This window comes from Homo sapiens, chromosome 3 (genome assembly GCF_000001405.40).
Source record: "Homo sapiens chromosome 3, GRCh38.p14 Primary Assembly".
Lineage (NCBI taxonomy): Eukaryota > Metazoa > Chordata > Mammalia > Primates > Hominidae > Homo > Homo sapiens.
The window spans coordinates 143,423,443-143,446,296 of record NC_000003.12 but is presented as its reverse complement, the minus strand read 5'-3'; the positions used below and the strand labels follow the sequence as shown (position 1 = coordinate 143,446,296).

The following is a 22,854-nucleotide window of genomic DNA, read 5'->3' as shown; positions in this document are numbered from 1 at the left end:
GTTTCCTTAAACTCCACCTTCCACCATATTACAACCGACAAACTGGCCTCACTCCAGTTAGGGCCCCCCCTTCTACTTGCCTGTTAATCATATCCTCTCTACTTATTGGAAGACATTACTCCAATATTTGTCTCTTTTTTTCCCTCATATCATTATTTTGTCCTTTTCACTGGATAATTTAAAAACCCAGATTAATTACTTTTATTTTTTAAAATAAAACATTTCTCTCCAGCTACAGCCCCATTCTCTGCTGTCCTTTACAGCAAAATCCTTCAAAAGAGCTATAATTCATAGTGTCTACCAATCCTTTCTTCTCACTCTTTCTTAAACTTACTCTGAGCAGTCTGTAGCCCCATCATTCTACCAAAGCTGTTCTTGTTAGTCTTGATACTCCCCTCAGCGTTGCTAAGTCCAATGGTCAAGCTTCACTTTGCATTTTATTGGACAATCAAAAACTTTTAACATAATTGATCTTACTTGAAACACTTTCTTCACTTGGATTCTAAGACACACTCCACCTAATTAATCTCATACCTCCCTGGCCACCTATTGGCTAGTGTATATGCCAGTTTTTGCTGCAGGAACTAGTCCTAATATCACAATGGTTTACAACCATAAAGATCAGTGTTTTGTTCAAATTCCATAAAGGTATGGTGTCAGCTACAGATCTGCTTGACTCTGCTGGGTTCATCTGCAGCTCAGCTCGGCTTGACTCTGTTTGGAGCTCTGTGCCATCTGTTTTCTCACTCTTAGACCCAGGCTAAAGGAGCAGTCCCATCCGTAGCATGCTATTCTCTTGTAGCAGAGGAAAGGAGCAAAAGGATTGAAACTCCCAAAGTTTCCAAGAGCTTCTGCTGGGACATGGCATGTATCATGTCTACTCACATTCCATTGGTCAAAGTAAACCTGTGAATCACATCTCCTATGTGAAAGGGGTAATAAGTTGTTTGTCCTCATCTTAAGCCCATGAGATGTGGCTTCAGTGAGACCATTGACAAGTTTCATGCATGTCCTCAAAGGACTGGGGAACCCCGTGATATACTCACTGTCTGACTCACATCTAAGAAATCTAAGGTGTCAAAAACTAGCTGAAGTGGTCTACAACAGCAGAGTGAGCCACAGCTTGAGAAGTTCCTACATTCCCACCAAGAATGTATCTAAAGAGTGTGTTTCCTATTGATTGACATGTGTGATATAATGGAGAGAGCCTCTGTGGAGGTGGCTTACTTTCTGACCTAGAATGTTACCTGAAGGGGTGAGAAGATCACAGCAGAGGAAAACCGGGGCTATGGAGTTAGATGTTCAGGGGCCAAGGCAGTGGTGGATGGACACACAGTCCATATCAGGAAACTGCCCATCAGAGGGCCCAGGGGTAGACGGAACCCTGAAGAGACCTCACAAATGCCCACATGGGCCAGCTTCCAACATCCACCACAGCCAAAGGGAAATATGCCACATTCATGCCAATTGAATGAAACCTTTCTTTCCCATTTACCTCTTCCTTTTCCTCTGTCCCCTCACCTTGGAGAAGTCAAGCTAGCAACTAGGAATGGGGTAAGGAAGAGAAGGAAAATAAGAAGATTGCCCCTTCACCCCTGGTGGCAGGCCCAAGCTGATGGGGTAGGAAGACTCACTCCAGCTGAAATTTAGGGATTGTTATTATTACATATTACTAAGCTGAGACTATTTATGTGATTAGAAGTCACCAGAGGACTTAAAAATAAACTATCTGAGACTATTAAAAAGTCAAGGACCCCGCTCCAGAGTCTGAAAAAGTAGGTATGTACGTGTGTGTTGGGGAAAGGTGGGGCATGATAAAGTTATTTCTTTTGCACTCCATGAACCACATTTGTTCCAAGTGGCCTAGGCTGCTGTGCCATTACCTGGGCTGGTTGCATCTGCCTGGGCTTCATGATAGGAAGAGGTTGCACTTCAACTTTGTGGAAACCTGGCAACTTCATTAACATCTCCGACTATGAGAATATAGGAGGCTAGAATCTTAGTTTACAATTGGCTGGCCTCACATTTGACCCTGTTTACATAAAGGAAATCTAGGCATCTGGCCAATTTAGGACCAAACAATTTCGTAGCTGGGGTGTTGAGCTTCATTTCCTTCTTCATTTATAAATGCAGTTGAAGCTGATTCCAAAGCATTTTTAGGAAGTCAGTAAAAACATTTAGGCGTCACTACTACTGTTTTATTAAATTTCATCTGTTGTTTTGACCTTGCTTGTGTTTAAATACGGAAATAAAAATCTGGGTGTGGCCGTGGGGGAGTGAAGGGATGTTAAGTCATTACACCACCTACTTATCCAGTCAGGAAACCCCAAGCCACTGGTCCATTTCCTGCTTTAGTAAGCCAAGGAATGCAATCGTGTCATGTGTGTGACTAAGGGTAACATGACTCAGGTTAAGAACTGGGTCTATTGAATTTGTTTCCTGGCCAAGAAAACTACAATTCAATTGCTACTAGAGTTAAATGGAAAATATATACTTTTGCCTTCATTAGAGCTATTGCTACTTCTAAAGAATTGTTGGGAACATAAGATCAAACTTAAACATGATAGCATAAGTTCTACTTATTGTGAATTAGGACAGCCCTTGGGAATATTGCCTTTTATTCCCAGCTCTACGTATGCTTTGTGTTGGACCTTAGACATCATACCTCTGTCCTTACACATGAAAAAGAGACTATTGCTAGTCAACACTCAATACCAGGCAAATTAAAAATGCTCATTTAAACACAGGGTAGACTACTATGATCCCTTACCTGTGGATTTATTTGTTTATCTAGTTCTTCATTTCTTAAAATGGTACCCTTCACAGAAGCACCTCAGGGTACAAGCAGCACATTAAAACAGTAATTAAAATAGATAAAACATTACAAAACAGCAATTAAAGGAGCAGCAAATGAGATTACGTCTTAAAACACTATTATGCTGAAAACCTTTAAAAAAAAAAACTGTTCACCTTATCAGTATAGCAGGCACATGGGCAAGGAGGGGAGAGCCTTTGTTGTGGCTTTGAGAAGTCACAAATGGAAAACATGTGGTGAGACAAATGATTTTAAACCTTGCCTCTCAATGTAATTTTGTATCTCAAATGTAATATTCTGGCCCCCAGCCCCCACACCCCCAAGCCCTAATCTGTTCCCCTACAGGGGTGGCTTGTTTTATACCATACCTTAATGTGTCTCTTTAGCCAGAGCAGGCTACAGAGGATTCAAAAGACTCTTTCTTTCCCAGAGGCTGTAAATGGAGTCCTTAGTCATACTTTATGTAGCTCAAATGGCAGTTGATCATGCTTAAGTACTAGAAACAATCAAAGGACCATAACCTCAGAGAACATTCTTCCAACTTAGTAGGAAAATCTTTGTCATTCATCCCTAGCTCCCACCCCACCGGGCCCCATGGGCTGGCAGTTTTCTTACACAACATCATGTCCTCTCCCATCTTGTTTTATGCCTAAGCAAGCCTTTGTTCGTCTCTACTAACTGAACTCACCAGTCCCATTTCACTTTCTAGTGCTAATAACGCTTACTTGCAACATGTGAGTTTATTTATTTATTTATTGAGATGGAGTTTCACTCTGTCACCCAGGCTGGAGTGCGGTAGCACAACAATCTTGGCTCACTGCAACCTCTGCCTCCCGGGTTCAAGCAATTCTCCCTCCCTCAGCCTCCCAAGTAGCTGGGATTACAGGCACCCACTACCACACTGGGCTAATTTTTATATTTTTAGTAGAGACGGGGTTTCCCTGTGTTGGCCATGCTGGCCTTGAACTCCTACCTCAGGTGATCTACCCGCCTCAGCCTCCCAAAGTGCTGGGATTACAGGCATGAGCCACCGTGCCCAGCCCATGTGAGTTTAAAGTTAGAATTTACATAGGTAGCAAGCAATTTGCAAAAGCCAACAATGCTATAATTGTCCAGTTTTTAAACATGTGAGAGCTTGGTGAGCATTCTGACCTTGGGAGCTGAAAATATATTGTCTGTTTTATTGACATGAGGGCGTATCTCCACTGAGATGCTGCTCTGTAACAGTACATGAGTCCTTTCAGAAACTGTTTTGTAGGAAGCCCATCTTGTTTGTATAAAATTGTTACTTTATACTCATTTTGCTCTACGTTGATCTTAAAGGGTGGAGCTCCACTGTGCAGGCACCTTCCTCAGCAACCTGTCTCCCTCTCCTATTTCAGTAAGGCCAAACCACCCAGAATGGTTGGATTGATGAGTGGGTGGGTGGATGGATGGGTAGTTAAGGGATGGGTGGTTGGGCTGATGGGTGGGTGGAAGGATGAATGGGTAATAAGGGTATGGGTGGTCAGGTGGGTAGAAGGATGGATGGGTAATTAGGGGATGGGTGGTTAAGTGGGTAGGTGGCTGGATGGATGGATGAGTAGAGATGGATGGATGAGTGGATGGATGGATGGATGGATGGATGGATGGATGGATGGATGGATGAATGAGTAAATGACACACTGCCTAGAAGGTATTTTAAAGGACACTTTACATATGGCCAAATTGATAGTACAGGGCGGAGATGGGGAACTCTGAGAGAAGGGCCCTCAAGGAGGCTGGCATAGAAAACAGAAACCACAGCCCATCCAGAGCACACATTGATCACTTCAATATAACTCTGCATTGAAAGATAACAAGGTTTTTTTCTTCTGGAAAAAAAAAAAAGTGCAGATACTGGCTGATGTGAAATTAGCAATCACAGTCTTAGGTTGTCCTAAATGCTTGAAGGATGCATATGTTTAACTGCCAAGATGCCTTTGACTAACTCTTGGGTTCTTGATAAAAGTAGAGAGACCAATGTCTAGTAAGAAAGTGACTATAATTACCTGCTAAGGTATCTGATGCAGTAGGAATATTAGTTTGTGTTAAAAGTGTTTATCTGAGGTTTTCTGTGAGGATCCCACGTTATTCATAAGTACACTTCCCACCCTCCCTGGCATAGCTCCACACCCTTTTTCACATGGCCTGAAATTCCCTTTAAAGCTCCAGAGAGTACCTAGAATATCCGTTAAGCAGATATTCTACCACAAAGTGGAGGAAGGAGTTGAGGAAAGAGTCAAGAGGAATTCTAGCTCATTCCATTTACTCATGAATACTCATGAGATTCTCAGTTACTGTTTACCACTTTGGCAAACAAAAAGTAGGGCCCTGAGAAAATGCAACTTAGAATGGGTAAGTTTTGATGAAAGGGAGGAAGGTTGGAAAGGTGAGAATGATAAAAGAAAAAAACTGGGTTAACAAGAATATGTCAGCACAGTAAGATCCTAGAGAAGAGTAAGCCTGTCTGAAAGGGCACAGCACAGAAAATGGACAAACTTCCTGATGTCACCAAATAAAGTTGCCCTCAAGTCAGTAAATAGAATTCTGAAGAACAGCATCTTTAAATCTGTAGTTTTAGACCAAGCTCTGTAGAATAACAATGCCCCAAAGTTATGCCAGGCTTGCTTTAAAGCCTCTTGTCCATGAATATATTTAAACGGCTTCAGTTTTACCAGCAAAGCTCCTTTGGGGTGTACACTGTTCAAGTGGCTTTCTACCACCAAGCTGTTTATCATTTTGTAATTTCACATCAAAGAGAGTATCACTACATTCAGTAAAGACCTGCATCGGTAAGCAAAGGCTTGCTGTGGCCCTTGGCTAACACAGACAGGCTCATATACAGCTTCATTTACCCGGTGGGATACCCTGTGGAACATGAAGAGCATCGTGAGCCATGCGGGCTTTGAGAGCAAAGACCTGGAGGCACCTCACTGTGGATGACCTGTATCTCATCTCTGCCTTGTGAAGTCATGGAGCCTTCATGTATATGACTTGTCCCCCTAGTTAGGGGCCAAACTCCTTGAACCACGTTAGTCTTCCCCGTAACCCCGACTCTCCTCATTCTCCAGAGCACCCAGTGAATAGGGTGTTTCCCCTTACTCTGCCAATCATAAGCAAAAGGGAACCCTCCCAGAACTCAAGCAGCATTAGCACAGTGGAGATTAAAGATACCATTCAAATGCCTTAAAGGACTTTGTTGATTTCCCACAGGAAACATTATAAATTGCTGTGTTTTCAGCACTTGTAAAATCCCTAGGTGGGTCTCCCTGCAGAAGAGAGGGGCAAACAAAAGTCACAAAAATTCTCAGCCACCGTCAGCATATGCTCCTTGTGTTTTCTGCACCATTCACTCTTTCTTAACTGTCCCTTTCCTGCTGTAAGCACAGTTTGAATGTGGTTTAAGTGAGCATGAAAACAATGTAGTATGCATTGGTTAATTCTGCTGCTCTGGAAAACCAACAATGTCAGAGGCAGGCTGAATTCAGCCCCAGGGCAGTCTCTGAACTCCTGAAGCAATAAAACTGCTGAGGGCTTCATTTTAAGGCCCAGAGGTTGGTGCCTGAGCTTTAGAAGGGCCACCTCTGCCTCTGACATGACTAACTTCTGCTTTATCCTCATGGCCACACATTCCACTGAACCACCTCCTTCCCACCTGCCAGAGCCCTTAAGAGGCTACTCCAGCCTCCTCTCAGAGCCCAGGTCCTTGTGTTCTTTGCATCTCTCTTTTCATTCGTTGGGTGCTCTGGAGAATGAGGGGAGTTGGGGGGATACAGGGAAGAATGACATAGTCCTAGGAGTCTGGCCCCTAACTAAAGGGATAAGTCATATGTGTGAAGGCTCTGTGACCTCTCAAGCCAGGTGTGACAGGTAACCCACAGCGAGATGCCTCCAGGTCTTTGCTCCCAAAGCCCCCATGGCTCAGGATGCTCTTCTTGTCCCACTTCTTCTTCTTACCCTGCCTTCTACCTGGTGCTCAGTGTGGTGACTTCTTCTCCACGGTCCTTTCCTCATCCGTCTGAGAACTGAGCCCTTGCTCCCTGTGCCCCACTGTACTCTGAAAGTACAATGAGCTGAGCCAGAGGCAGCATGGGCTCAAGGCTAAGAAGACCGGCTCAGAGGCAGTCTAAGCAACAGAATGCTAATCCTGGGTCCTCCCCTTCTTAGCTGTGTGACTTCAGGCAAGTTATTTCACCTTTCTGCACATCTGCTTCATCATCTTCAAAATGAGGGCAATAGCACCTACTGCACATGGTCACTGAGGAGGATTAACAGAGTTAACCCAGGGAAAAGGCCCAGAATGGTGCCTAGCAAGCAATAAGTGCCTAGAATTGTCATATATTATAGGCTGTCACTCTTAGTAAGCTGTATGATTCTCCAGGGTACAGACACTGCTCATTTATCTTTATAACCCCGTCACCTGCAGCTGGGCATGAAGTAGACAAGCATACAAGTTTAATGCTGAAGAATTAAAGAAATGAATAAATGACCAAATCAACAAATGAACAGACCTTAGTAAGAACACAGGAAGCAGCATATTATTGCAGCAAAAGCCCTGGGCTCTTGGATCCATGAAGACCTTGAGTCCTCTTGGGCACTGACATTCCTGGAGTTGGTGGGGTGTGGCTCTGGAGGCAGCATAGGCAGCTGAGGTCCCCTGGGCCAGTCACTGGTAACTCGGGTCCACTCCCCACTCAAGAACCATGTGGCTTGAGCAATCCCCAAACTTGGTTTCCTTTGCTGCCAAAGCAGGCACTGGATGGAGCAGAGAGCCCCATACCCTGTGGGTCTTTCCAGACTGAGAGCTTAGCAAAGTAGAATATTCTGACTCTGCCCTGCGACACACTGATTCCACTGTCTGGGATGGGATAGGGCATCTGTGTTTTTAAAAACCTCCCCAGATGATGGTGAATCTCAGGCACAGGTTTGGGAATGACTGGACTAGATTTCTCAGGCTGGAATGGGGAGAAGGCTTCCCCCACACTCCTCTTCCAACTTCCACCACACACATACACACACACAAACACACACACACACGCCAGGGAGATCCTTGATGGAACCTGTCTCCACACTGTTCCTTAAACACAGAACTCTGGGCACTGCCAACTCCCACATAAGCCTATGCTGCTCTTTGAGGGGAGTGGAGAGTTGGGGCCCCCATTTTGAGACTGAGCTCCCCACTGCCTCCCCTACCAACCGCCCTGACACACATGACAGGCAATAGAATCAACTACCACCTGTGATTGATCCATGCTAGCTATAAACTGTTATGGACCTGGTTAATTGTTTTGCCTGTATAAGCACATTTTGTTTCATCCATTTTTCAAGCTGAAGGAAAGTTGTTTTATAAAAGGGGATTTAATTAAATGTTTTGTCCCAGCCTGGCCTTTCCTTTCTGCATCTGCATTATGCTTGTGTCATATTTTCCCTAGAGGGTAGGAAAACAATTTAGTAAAAATGAAGGATTCATTGATTTACTATTGAAAAAGGAAATGCCAAGCTAACAACTCCCCTCTATAATTTTCTAGTGACCATATGAGAGAGCCTAGCCATTTAACTTAAAGACAGTGTGTTTCCTGGTGCACCTGGCTCTATCTATACCATTCATGCTGTTAAGTTTATAGTCTTGCTCTTGATTGAAATCATTTCATGAACACTCATAAGCGCTATTTTTCTTCTCTGAACGAAATAGATGTTCCTGGGTAACTAAGGTCTTTAATTGTTTCTACTGCCAGTTTAGTGACTGGGGGTGGGGAATTATTCTTTCCCCAAGACCCTAACAGTAGGATCATAACATGTCTCCCATCATTTAACTGTAGCTCTCCCTCTGCGTATAGAATTTAAGTTGACCTACTTTCCTGCCTGTTGAGCGGCCTCGGGCCTCTAACGTTCTTCTAGTAGATATCAGCTGTTTTCTGAACTAAAGTCTTAGATCTTTAGTGCAATACACTATCGTGCCTCAAAGGAAGCAGGACGCAGTAATAGTCTGAGGGACCTGGGTATGACAGGGCCCTTGCTGGGCGCCACTTCCTCTAGCCATCCTGTGTCCACTGACGACCGTTGTGGGATCTGAGCCTGTCTGGCCAAGGACCAGGGCAGTTCTGGAAGCAACCTTCATTCTGAGGGGAGAGGGCTTGCAAGCAAACAGAGGAAGGAATGTGGGACTAGGAATCAAGAAAATACAATTTGCCATAGGAGCACTGTATCTTTGGGCCAATCGTGTCACTTCTGGAAGCTTCAGTGTCTCTTCCAGTGCAGTCTGTGATTCATTCATTCAAAATGTATGGAGCCCCTGCTATGGGGCACCCACTGTGGCTGGGACAATAGTGGGGAACTCAAGTAGACCTAGTCCTGCTGACATGAAGGGCCAAGTCTGGTGGGGGAAATAGGTTGAATCAACTCTTCACAAAAATGTGAGATGTTAATACTCCAATAAGAGCTTTACATGAATGGTGCACAATGGTTTGAGATGTAACAGGGAAATCTAGCTCAATGCCTGGTTATACATAATCCAGGGAGTGAGGGAAGGCCTTGAGAAGAAAGTGACTTCTGAGTGGACACATCAAAGAAAAGTAAGAGTTAACTCAGAGAAGGAAGGCTTCAGGAAGACCCCACCTAGGCAGAGTGGCAGTGCTGACAAAGACACAGCCAACTCATCCCAGCTGAGGACACTCATTTCCCTGTGATGAGCATTTGCCTTCTCTCTTGCTGGTCCATTAGGAAACACACCAGCTGACCTCTAGATTGGAGCTGGCCAGCCAGAATGCATTTATACCTAATTAGTCACAAATTACAGTCCGTAACAAGGCAATGTTTTATTTTGCTGTATTGTACCAAAATCCAGGACAGCCTCACTTTCACAGTTTCTTCTTCCATCTGTACCAGGAAGAAGGCAAGACTTTGCCTCTGATCTGATTTTCACAAATCATCTGACCAAATTGGAAGGGACTCATTAGAACAGAACAGTAACTCACCTATCAGTTTCTGATGGACTGAACGAGATCTGGCTGAGGCTGTTTTGCAATTATAGCACTTTCCAGCTGAAGGCCTCAAAATGTTTTGTGAGCAGTGATGAGCAACAGGGCCTCCTAGTGCTAATACTAAGTGCTCTCATAATAAATTTTCACCGTCAACGTCTGGCTCATTAGCCTGTTAGGGCAGGAGAGGGGGCATGCCTGTGAGAAGGAGGTCATGCGGTGACCCTGCCAGCAGTAGGACTGGACCACTGCCCAGTGCTCGCAAGACGAGGTCGCATGTGGAAGTCTCGTGGAGGTTCAAGCCCACTTCTCCCGGTACCAGTGGACACCCCCAGCCCTGATGTCCGGACAGGTACTGTGAGGGCTGATTTGATGGAACTCGGAGCAAGAGAAGAGCAGAAGGGCAGAAGGAAAGGCCTGATCTGAGGATGAGGAAGGGTGGAGAAACATGGGTTGGGCCCATGGGACTGGTTAGATAGAAAAGCTGGGTAAAGGATTGTTGTGTCTGTAATTTTCCTTTCTACATGATTTCTCCTAGTTCTGTCACTGGCCCAGGCAGCCCCTGCAGGGAGGGTAGCAATCCTGTTTTGTGTGTAACTCTGTTAACCCTCCAGGTGTATTACTGAGTTGGCAGAGCAGAGTGGAGAGGAGGACACTTGTGTACTGTTTCAGGCTGTGTGGCACTAAGCTAGGGGGCTTTGGGGAGATGTCTCAGTGGGGCTTCCTATCACCCCACAAATCCTGCCACTGAACTGGCTGCTTCTGAAACCCACCCCAGCATACATTCCTCTCATTCCAAGGCCCCATATCACCCAAAAAATTTGATGTCATTGATTCCTACCTTTAAGATAACATAGTGAAAGTCTAACGTGTCAGGCAATGTGTTGGATTCAAGGTGAAGACATTTTTCCTTGCTCCCACTTTTCTGCATTTCCCAATTTTCTGTAATGAGTCAGTAATTTTTTGAATAGTAAAGTTTGCCATAGAACTATAACTGGAAGTGAAAATATATAAGCCACATTTTAATAGTTTTGAAGAACTAAATTACTTTTCTTAAGTATTTAAAGCTTGTTTACTTTGAAAACTTTGACTTTGTTACCTACTTCACTAAGAAACACAACGCCATTGGACCCAAGGGCTCTCACTATCGACCAATGCCTTTCCTCCAACTCAGAGAATCAGGTGAATTGGGTTTATAGTGCAAAAGAAACTTCTTTAAAATTCAAAAACAAACCAGTCATGAGTTCTGGCTACAAGATGCTTACAGTATAACCAGGTAGAAGAGAAAAGGCATACGAAAATACAATTTTTTGTAATATAAAATATTAGATAATATTTTATAAAATATAAGACAAAATTGAGAAGGATAAATACTTTAAAAGAGGTCTTGATAAGGTCAAGGGATGCCAGCAGAAGCCATTTTCCCCCAGCTGATGGATGGAAAAGCTTGATGACGGCGGGGCGTGAGAGCCCTGCCTGAGAGAAATCAGGGCCTGGGCTGCAGACAAGGTAGATTTGGGCAACCAGGGAATAGGTTAAAATGAGCAGCGGCAGGGAGGTCAGAAGGGGCTCGTGGGGTGGACCACATGAGCTTGATTAGGATGAAGTAAGGGAGACATGAAGAAAAGGAGGTGAGGTTGAGAGAGCTGAATGTGGAGAGGTAATGGAGGACGATGGGGACTAGGCTGAGGGATTTAGTTCCCCAGTCAGGGGAGCTATACCTGAATCAAACTGATCCAGCAGCAGAGGTTAGCATGGACCAGGGTGGAAAGAGGCATTTATGAGACTGAATCCAGGTGAGATAAGATGACCTAGGGCAGTAGCTGTGAGATGGGGGGGATGGGCCGGAGGTGTTTCAGAGGCAGCATAGGCGTATTCTGGAGAAATAAGGAGTGGAAAGGATTCTCTTTTCCAGCCTGTGCCCTCAGACTGGCTGAAGCTGGCATGAAGGGGCTACGGTGGTTAGAAGTTGCAATCGAACACTGGAAAGGAAAATTACAGGTTGCTCTTCCAGGAGGACTTCTTCAGCCCAGAGGAACTGCAGGAGTTGCCAGCATAATGAAATCTAAACAGGGAATTATCAAATAAGCAAAAAGGATAACCCATGAGGTTTCTTTTTTTTCCTTCTGCCCCTCTTTCTCTTTTAAGTTATTCATCACTAAATATCTATGAAGCAGTTACATTATATAGGAAACCAAAGGAACACAATTTAACACCTAGTTTCTGTCATCGAATGATTTTCAATATATTTGCAGACAGAACTGTATTCACATGTCTGCATACCATTGCACACTTTAGTTCACGAGCCACCTTGAGAAAGATGCTAGGACTTGAGCTGTAAACATTGCCTAAATTAAGGGAAATTTAGTGTTTGGGGGGTATTATTATACAGTGCTACTATGTGCCATATACTTTACTTTTCATCTTATTGTGTCCATTTTAAAGATAAGGACACTGAGACCCAGAGAGATGAAGTTAAGAGGTAGGTGACAGAGCCAGGAAAGCTTCATCCAAACCACAGCGCCCCCTAGAGAGGTAGACAGTGAAAGGCAAGTCTTCCTCATAAAAACCTGGCATGCAAAGGTATAGAAGATATAGGTTATCTATACTTCAAAACCATCAGAATTCGAAAGGTTTCATATGCACCTTCCAGCTTACTTTCCAGTTGGTTCTAATAAAGTTTTCTGAGACTCCTTTCTGAAAGATTCTGCTGCTGTCAGGAATCTGCATATTTCCTCAAGATTTGGAGCTGGGTAGGACAAGATAGAAACACGAATAGAACATAAGTTAATTGCTTTCTGGAGTATGTTTCAGAGTCAGTGTATTTCCCATGGTGTTCTGTATGCCTGCCTCCTGGGCTTAAAGGGTTAACAGAACACCCCCACCTTTTATAATATCACCAGATCTCGATTAATCTGGCAAATGCTATAAATCAAGGGACAGTGTGAAATTGAACACTAAATGTATTGGACGTTATTATAAAAAGAGAAATTGGATAATTTCTACTCATTTCTATCTGAAAATGAAAAACTGCCAGGGTAATGAATCTCCTTGATCTGCTGAAGTGCTTATCAGTTACAAAGTACTTTTCCACTGAAGAGATAAGCAGAGTCAAAACACACAAAAAAATCACAATTTTTTGAATGAAAATAAATCTTCATGCTGTTTGTGGGATAAATTCCCCCCAAAGAACCCAGCAACCATCTCTTTTAAAAAGCTTCAAAGTCGATAGGATTTCTTATTGCCCTGAAACACGTCAGGAAACTAAAGAAAACTTTGTTACATGAACTGTCCACCCTTCCATGAAATCAAGAGCAAACTTATCAAGATTGATTTCTGTCATCAAGTGCAGTTAGATTTGCATAAAAGGGTTGGCCAAAAAGATATATCTAAATAACCTTTCATTGTTAAGGCTAACCTCCCTTTCACTGTTAAGTTCAAAGGAAGGAAAGTTCTTTGAAACACCACCAGGGCTGATTGGTGCTGCTGGTCTAATCAGAGCATGTTTTGAGTCCAAAGGTAAGAAATGCCTTCAGTTGGAATAAAATGCAGGCAAGAGGCCAGGCGCAGTAGCTTATGCCTGTAATCCCAGCACTTTGGAAGGCCAAGGTGGGGGGATCATGAGGTCAGGAGATCAAGACCATCCTAGCTAACATGGTGAAACCCTATCTCTACTAAAAATACAAAAATTAGCCGGGTGTGGGGGTATATACCTGTAGTCCGAGCTACTTGGGAGTCTGAGGCAGGAGAATCGCTTGAACCTGGGAGGCGGAGGTTGCAGTGAGCCAAGATCACGCCACTGCACTCCAGCCTGGCAACAGAATGAGACTCCGTCTCAAAAAAATAATGTGGGCAAGATCAGCCAGGTGGCCACCATTCTAGGGGGAAGAGAGCCCTTCAAATACTGATTCCAGGGCAGCCTGCTTGTTTTAACAACCTTTTCTCGGTAAAGCTCTCCAAACCCTGGAACTGTTCCAGTTTTCCTTTTCTGCATGAAGTAGGAATGTGATTGTAATGAGATAGTTTTTCAGAAATCAGTGTTGCAGTTCTCATTTTTCCTGTATTTGATAATACTTGCCCTGTGCCTATTAATGAGCCTAGTCTAGTTGAGGTAACTGGAATGGGCAAAGAGTTTACTGCACTGAGAACCTTTCCAGGGCCTGTTCCCACTACATACATCATCAGGAGCTGAGAGAGTTTAGAACATAGTAATTACCCGGTGTGTAGTCATCTTATACAAATCAATTTATTCACACACTTAACAAATACATGTGTGCCAAGCACTGTTCTGAGCATTTGAAATAAACAAAAATGCCTGTGCTCAGGGTGTTTTCATTTTGGCAAGAGAAAATAAGCCGTGAGAAATTAGCTTAACAAATGGGCAAATTATATAGTATATCAGGTGATAAGTGGTACAGAAAAAAAAATTGAGCAGAGGAAGAGAGAATGGAGGCTGGGTTATAGGGATGGGATTGGGCTGTGATTTGAATTAGGTAGTCCAAGTAGGCCTCACTGAGAAGTTATCTCTTGAGTAAAGACTGGGAGGAGGAAGAGCATTTTAGCAGTGGCAATAGCTTATGCAAAGACTGTAAGGTGAGATGTACCTGGCAAATTGGAGGAACATCAAGTGGGCCAGTGAGGCTGAAGGGTGAGCATGTAGGAGAGTAGGAGGGGCTGAGTTTAGAGAAGTAAGAGGGGTGGGAAGATCATACAGGGCCTTATAAGCCATTGTAAGGACTCGGCCTTTCACTTTAAGAATTGGGTCACGAGGTCGGGAGATCAAGACCATCCTGGCTAACACGGTAAAACCCCATATCTATTAAAAATACAAAAAATTAGCCGGGCATGGTGGCGGGTGCCTGTAGTCCAGCCACTCAGGAGGCTGAGGCAGGAGAATGGCCTGAACCTGGGAGGCGGAGCTTGCAGGGAGCCAAGATTGCACCACTGTACTCCAGCCTGGGTGACAGAGCGAGACTCCATCGCAAAAAAAAAAAAAAAGGTGGGGGCAGCTACTGGAGGATTTCGCAACAAGGGATGTGATCTAACTGGCAATTTGAAAGAACTCCTCTGCTGTCTTGAGAATACACTGTATTCTACAGGGAGGCAAAGGTAGGGGCTGAGAGTTGAATTAAGAGATGACTGCAGGAATCTGGGAAAATCAACAAATAATTCATGGTTCTATGTGCTATAGTGGCATAAACGAAGCTGGAGCTCAAAGCACTGTGTGCAACTAGTTCTTCCAGGGAAGGCTTCCCAGGGCTGTGACTTGTGAATTGAAGGAAAGGGACTTAGAGAAGGAAGGCAGATGGCAGGAGGTGAGATGAGAAAGATTTAGGGGCACCAGACTGTGAAAGGCCTTGAGTACCACCAGGACTGATGCCTTTTATAAAGCCAAGAAAATGCCCAACTATGTGGCCTAAACAAATAGGTTCTTATTTTTCTCATGTATTAGGAAACCTAGAGGAAGCAGTCCAAAACTAGTGGATAAAATCAGTGATGAGGCTCTTTTTGTCATCCTTGTTGTAATGGCTTGTGCTGGTTCTAAAGAGTGCTGCTGTGTATCCATGTTGTGGGAAGGAAAAAGGAAGAGAGCAGCATGTCAGGTGAATCTAGCTCTCCCTTTTTTAAATTGGGAAAGCAAATCTCCTAGAAACCCTACCCAACAGACTTCAGCTTGAGTCTGCCTAGCCCAACTGGGTCACGTGACCATGCCCACCTGGAAGGTGGCTCAGCTGAAAGGGTGGTGGATATGGTGTATGTCAGCTAACCAACAGTGCCAACACAAATTCTTAAATCTATCCAATGTGAGTGAAGATGATGCTTCCCCCAGAGGGCCACATGCAGCTTCATTGGCCTCCCCCTCTCAGATCTGGGCTCAGCAAAAGAACAGCTGCTGAAGCACCCACTCTCCACTATGGCTATCACTGCCCTGCCCCTTCCACAGGGCCCCAGGTAGACTAGCTAGGGCCTCCAAGTCCCGCCTTTCCTGCATGCCTGTGAACATCACTGATTCAACAGTAGGGACCAGGCCCTATGCCAGCAATGGAATCTGCCTCTCCATAAGAGAAAGGTGTGTGTGAGTGTATGTAACCCTCAGAATTTCCTTGGGACTCTGGCAGTCACTTCTGTTTTGTCAAAAGAGGTTTCTATCCTCCCCTTCCAAGTGATAAAGCATTAAGACACACAGGCTGGGGGATGGGGTCAGAACTTGTGGCTGTGCATTAATGAGCCCCACTGGGAGTCAGCAAAGCTTGACTTTGGTGGTCACAACCTGTTTTCCTTGATCCCAGGTGCCTATCTCTCTTCACCCTCTTTCCAAATCTGTTCTCCAAAAGGTTCTGATGAAGTCATTAACTTTGAAGTGTAAACAACTGATAAGACTGAAAATGCCCTCTCCCCTAGATGCATTCTTATTCTAATAGCTGTCAAGCCGCTGTGGCTTGAACCTAAACTTGGAATGGGCAGGGCACCAGAGTGGCTGGTTTCAGTTTCTAGCTCTGCCATTCATGATCCAGTGAATCAGTACATCTTTTGGGCTTCAGTTTCTTCATCTGTAAAGTAACAAATTTGAAAGATATGACCTCTAAGGCCCTCCTTGCTCTCCTGGTCTATATGGCCAAGTGAGAGAACACAACTTGACTGTGTACTGACTTCTGGTATTACTAGCGCTTAGCTGCTGTCATGCGTGGCATTGATGCAGAAGCCTCATCCTACACACGCTCTGAGGACTAGGACTCCACACACACTCAGCCTCCCCCTCTGGAGGGGTGATCTCCATCTGGGTGTGCACTCCCCTCCTCTCAGACCTCTGCAAGCAGGTATCTGATGTGCAGAGTGATGGAGAGAAGCTGCCTCTTGGTATCATCCACTAGACTGTGGGCTTGCTGAGAGCAGAGACATGTCTGGTTCACTAAGTGTATGTAAAAATGAACTGCCTGAACTGTGGTTAGAAAGGTAGCAGGGATGGACTTCTCTTTCCACTCTGCTCCTTACAAATAGACTCCGCCAGGCTCTGCCTTTTATCTGTTCTACCTTCTCCCCTCCTTTTCTCTTCCTATTGTCAGGCAAAAGCTGCTTTCACACAGTCCTATTATGACATCTCAAGTTGGACTCTTACTCCATACCTCATCCAAACATCCTCACAGCCTACCATAGCTGCCTGAGTTACCATTTGATTCAGTTCCTAAAGAAATTCCTCTGCTAAATGTCCCATTTATACTAACAATAAATATTTGTAACACATTTTCAAGTGCTCTCATCTACTCTAAGCTCTCCTGGGAGGGGTAATTTCTTTTTTAATTTATAATTGATACATAATTATGCATATTTATGGGGCACAATGTGATATTTCAATGCATGTATACATAGTATCGTGATCAAATCAGGATAATTACCATATCACTTTAACATTTATCATTGTGATGACACTGAAAATCTTCTAGTTATCATGAAATGTACACTTCACCTTTACATGCTGTAGTCACCCTACTGTGTAATAGAGCACCAAAACTTCCTAACTCTAACATTTGTACCTATTGACCAGCCTCTCCTCCTGATCCCCATCCCCACCCCTCTGCAGCCTCTGGTGGACACTATTCTACTCTCTACCTGTAGGAAATCAACTGTTTGGACTCCACATGAGTGAGATCACAGTGTCTGGCTTCTTTACCTTAATGTAATGTCCTCCAGGTTCATCTGTGTTGCCACTAATAACAGGATTTCATTCTGTTTTATGGTTAATATTCGTGTGTGTGTCTGTGTGTGTGTATGTGTCTGTCTTCATTCATCTGTAGATGGGCATTTAGGTTGATTTCATATCTTGACTATTGTGAAGTACACTGAAAACATGGGTGTGCAGATGTCTCTGTGACATTGATTTCATTTCATTTGGATACACACCCACTAATGGGGTTGCTGGATCATATAGTACTTCTGCTTTTAAGTGTTTTGAGAGACCTTCATACTATTTTCCATAATGGCTGTACTAATTTACATTTCTACCAACAATGTATAAAGAATTGCTTTTACTCTGCATCCTTGCCAGCATTTTTTCTGGGGTGGGGAGGTCTTTTTGATAATAGCATTCTAACTGGGGTGAGGTGATATCTCATCGTGGTTTTGATTTGCATTTCTCTGATGATTAGGCATGTTCAGTATTTTTTCATATGTCTGTTGAATATTTGTATATTCTGAAAAATGTCTATTCAGAATGTCTATTCAGGTCTTTTATCCATTTTTAATCAGATTTTTTTTTGCTATTGAGTGTTCTGAATTCCCCATATACTGTGGATATTAACCCCTTGTCAGATGTATAGTTTGCAAATACTTCCTCCCAGTCTCTAGGTTGTCTCTTCACTTTGTTTCCTTCATTGTGCAGAAGCTTTTGGGCTTGATGTAATCCTATTTGTCTAATTTTAGTTTCGTTGTCTGTGCTTTCTTATTTTTAAAAATCCTTGCCCAGCTCAATTTCATGAAGCATTTCTCCTATGTTTTCCTTTAGTAATTTCATAATCTGCATCCTGCATTTAAGTCTTTAGTTCCTTTCGAGTTGATTTGTATATATGGTGAGAGACAGGAGTCCAGTTTTATTCTTCTGCATGGGGGAGGGGTAGTTTCTTGAGCAGATACCAAGTTGTGGTTTCTGAAAGATGAGCTGACAGCCAAGTAAGAGACCCTGAGGGAAGCAACCCCAGGAGACATGACTGAGAAAAATATCAGCATTAAGTGCTAGCAGCCTGATAGGGAACAAGGATAAAAGATGAACTATCAGAACCTGAGGCACATTTCACCAACATCACACCATTGCCTTGTGGCCCTTTAAGGATGAAATGCCAGCTCAGTTGTAGTATCTATGTCCAGTCTTAAGTTTTCTGAAACCACCATTTTCTATATGCCCCACATCCCATGATTTTTTTAAAAATTGCATATAATGCTTGTCCTTGTTCAAAATCTTTTCTTGTGAGTTGACTCAAGTCCTACTTTGTAAAAGGATAGGATACAAGTAAGAAGTAGATTACTTGCTAATTATTGGAGATCACTTGCTTCTCTACATGAGATGCCCTGATGCAACAGGAAGATGATTTCAGAATAGTTTTTTAAATATGTGGAAAGTAGCTTGAATATTTATATCTATATGGTTTTAATTATGTGGCAAAAATATACTGGTATCATTTCTTAGATTTAGAGTCTGAGACCACATAAGGCAATATGGGCAATTTCAGTGATCTGTTATGTGCATGAATGCTTTACACAAGCAAAAGTTTTGCCATCATTTCCATGGATATATTCTGGGCATTTTAACCTATGTCATGCTTTAGCCTGGCACAGAGTAAGCAAGTGAAACATTCCTCAGTAATCCCATCAGTGCTGATAGCATACAAAGTAGTTGCTTTTTAAACTTTTACTTTGTTTTCATGAGTTGTTTTTAAAAACAAACATTGATTGGGCCTTGCTTTAACAGTCACAATAATGCCTTGTAGATACCAGTAAACTGTAGCGGCTGTTAAGTGTGGGCTCTGGGGTCAGCTGCCCGTGTTTGAATCCCAGCTCTGCCACTTACAAGTTCTATAGCCATGGCCTAGTTACTCAGCCTCTGGGCAGCTCCATTTCCTCTGTTGTAAACTGTGGATTATAACAAATTATCTCAGAGGGTCCTTGTGAGGATTAAATGAGTTAATATGTGAACAGCAAGTATAGTACTCAAAACAGTGCCTGGTGCATAGTAAATGTTAGCTCTCATAATTATGAACAGTTTTCTATTAACCTAAATAATTCCCATTTCTAGTTCCTTTTTCCAACATGGCACTGGGTGATCAAACAATGCCTACTTGACCCTGAGCAAAAATGTTTTTTTCTGCATGCTGCATGCAGGTATATTTGAAAAACATTAAGAATATGAGCCTAAATTGATATTTTTTAAATTATTTAGGGATGAACAAGAACAAAAGGGAGGACAAAAAGGCTAGAAAAATTGCTACTACATTTTCCAGAAATGGAGAATCAATAAACTCTGAGCTGGGTATTTTAAGAAAGGAAACAATAGGTTTCCACAAGATGTTTCTTAGAAATCCAAATGAGCCTAGAAATTTCCAGTGGTTTAATTGTGGGGCCAAAATAGTTCTATACTAGTGACTGAATATAAAAGGGTTGATTAAAATGCTTTTTTAGTAGTTCGTATCCTTGAAAGTAAAGTCTCTGCTACAACCTGTGCCAATAAGAGCCAGTAAACAGCTAATTACATTATAACATGGGTTTTTTAATTGTTAATTATAATAAAAGAAGCAACAACCCAACAATAATTTGCCAGTCCGTACATCTGTGAAGTTTAAATGGGAAAATTGCCTCTTGTCTCAGCAAGGATGTAATTGATTCTTGGGCACTTAACGATATAATACTAGTTTCTGCCTGTTCTTCTTTCTTCCTTCAAAGAGCTGACACCATTATGTCACTGATATAAATGGAATCTTGAAGGTACATCAAAAATTCTGTCTTTTTAGGAAAAAAAAAAAAAGCCATTGTGGCTCTTTAGTGTGGAGCAGGTGCGTAGTCAAGAAGGATTGATCCCTGGGTCAAGGTCAGAGTTCAGCTCCAGATGGAGTTTTTCACCCTTTTCTATGGGGTGGATGGAGCATATCTTGTCATGTTAGCAACAGTCATTGTGAACCTTCTAAAATGTTTTAAAGTAACATTTTAGGACTGTCAAATGAGAGAGTAAAAAGGCCTTGTCAGAGGCTATCTGTTCTCATGTCAACCGAAGCTAACTGGAAAAGAACTCTGGGTTCTTGAAACTGAATTTGATTAGTGGAGATGGACCAGAAAAGTGTGCATCAAAAAGGACTTGCAAAATATTAGCCTCACTACCCATTCTCAAACTCAAACAGCCCCTTATATTTCATTTTTTCAGTTTGACATTAAGTACCCAAGGAGCAGAAAAGGAATAAATGTAAAGAGTCCACATCAAAGTGCTGTCTATATTTCCATTCCAGCCAGTACATTGTTTTAATTGCCATTTAAAAATGTTCATTGTTAACCGACAGCCATTCTTGGTAGTGGATATACTTTAATTCTTTATAATAAACCATACATATATATTTTTAAAGCTTAACAGACATCTTGTCAGTGTGATCACTTTTTCTTCATCCTGATGCCCAGGTTATTCCAAATACAATATTTTGTCCTGATACGATGATTATACTTAAAAAAAAAAAAAAAAAAAAAAAGCTAAGCCTCATTGGTCCCCACATCAAAACTAAGTGTACACCAAATGATTATAAACATATCTGTTAATTTTAAACTTCCTCCATTTATTAAATCGATATATATAACCCTCTACCTGAATAATTGGATTGACCACATGGCAAGTGTTTTTAGCTGAAGTATACCCTTCCAAACAAGTCAGAAGGAGCACAACAGACTGTTCTCCCTGGCAAATGCCCTGAGGGGAAAATGGATCACATAGAATCATATTTTGCCTCCCTCTAATAAAAACAACAAACAGTATTCAGCACTGATTATAGAACTCATGCTATTAAGTACTGTGTGGTTGCCAATTCATTAAATTCACAAGGACCCTAGGTTGGTGCTATTATTATCATCCCTATTTTACAGACCAGGAAATTGGGACACAGATAACGTAGGCCTAGTTTCATATAGCTAATAAGTGGCAAAGCTAAAATTAAAACCCAGCACCTGTGTTTTTAACCACCTCACTCCTCTCCCTGTTGGCAGCATCTGTATTCTTTCTTGCTTTTGTTTTGAGATTTTTGATTCTTGGGAAGATAACTTTTTATTGTGAAAAATATCAAACTTTAAAAGGTTTCAGGCCGGGCACAGTGGCTCAAGCCTGTAATCCCAACACTTTGGGAGGCCGAGGCAGATGGATCACCCAGCACTTGGGGAGGCAGAGGCAGGTGGATCATGAGGTCAGGGGATTGAGACCCAGCACTTGGGGAGGCGGAGGCAGGTGGATCATGAGGTCAGGAGATTGAGACCATCCTGGCTAACACAGTGAAACCCCGTCTCTACTAAAAATACAAAAAATTAGCCGGGTGTGGTGGTGGGCGCCTGTAGTCCCAGCTACTCCCCAGCTACTCAGGAGGCTGAGGCAGGAGAATGGCGTGAACCCGGGAGGCGGAACTTGCAATGAGCTGAGATCGTGCTACTGCACTCCAGCCTGGGTGACAGAGTGAGACTCTGTCTCAAAAAAAAAAAAAGGTTTCAAGTATAATGTCCTTTTTTTCTTGAATTTTTCACAGTAAGTTGTTCACTTGATCCTTCATCACTTTCAAATACACTAACATCTAATTATGACAAACCAGAATCCTACGTAACCACAATGCAACCACCAGAATCATTCAGGTTTCACATGTTCACTCAGCCCTTTAAATCAAAAGGCTGAAATTCAAAATCATGTGTTACATTTACTGGTGTCCCTTTAGTCCCCTTTAATCTGGAACAGTTCCTAAATCTTTCATTAACTTTCATGACCTTGATATTTTTAAGGATTACAGGTCAGATACTTTGTAGAGATCCCTTATTCTGGGTGTTTCTGATACTTCCTCATGATTACATTCAGACTGTACATTGCTGACAGGAAAAACAGAAGCAGTGCTGCATTCTTCTTGTCACATGCCATCAGTTGGCACGTGATTTGGACTTGTCCTGTTACTAGTGACCTGCATTTTGATCACTTAATTAAGATGGTGTCAACCAGGTTTCTCTGCTGTAAAGTTACTCTTTCTACCCCCCATAATTAATAAGTATTTTGTAGAAAGGAACTTTGAAGCTATATAAATATCTCAGTCCTCATCAACTTTCAAGTCATTCATTTATTCATTTGTATCAGCATGGACTCATGCTTTTCCATTTTATTAAATGGACTTTCATTTGTAACTACCATTATTTATTTTGATGTTCAAATTGTCTTTAATTTGGCCACTAGGAGCCCCTTTAATCCATCTGCTCCGCCCTTAACATGTTCTCATCATTTTAAAGCCTTTTTATTGTTAATTGGTGCAATGAGATGTTTTGGGCTCATCTTGT

At 42.6% G+C, this 22,854-nt stretch overlaps 1 protein-coding gene across 4 annotated transcripts in view, besides 2 other annotated features; it reads left to right on the top strand.

Moving 5' to 3' along the window:
• The window catches only part of SLC9A9 (solute carrier family 9 member A9), a 583,247-nt gene that overhangs the window by 402,172 nt on the left and 158,221 nt on the right, over positions 1 to 22,854 (top strand). The window lies entirely within an intron of this gene.
• Positions 1,621 to 2,820: an enhancer, noted in NCBI's record as "P300/CBP strongly-dependent group 1 enhancer chr3:143162319-143163518 (GRCh37/hg19 assembly coordinates)". NCBI's record gives its function as "activates an origin of replication core promoter dependent on BRD2, BRD4, P300/CBP, MED14 and CDK7 cofactors, with strong dependence on P300/CBP, by STARR-seq in HCT116 cells {active_cell/tissue: HCT116}" and the evidence as "EXISTENCE:reporter gene assay evidence [ECO:0000049][PMID:35650434]".
• Positions 15,876 to 16,396: an enhancer, noted in NCBI's record as "OCT4-NANOG hESC enhancer chr3:143148743-143149263 (GRCh37/hg19 assembly coordinates)". NCBI's record gives its function as "activates a minimal SCP1, AML or CMV promoter by ChIP-STARR-seq in naive H9 embryonic stem cells {active_cell/tissue: H9 hESC(naive)}" and the evidence as "EXISTENCE:reporter gene assay evidence [ECO:0000049][PMID:30033119]".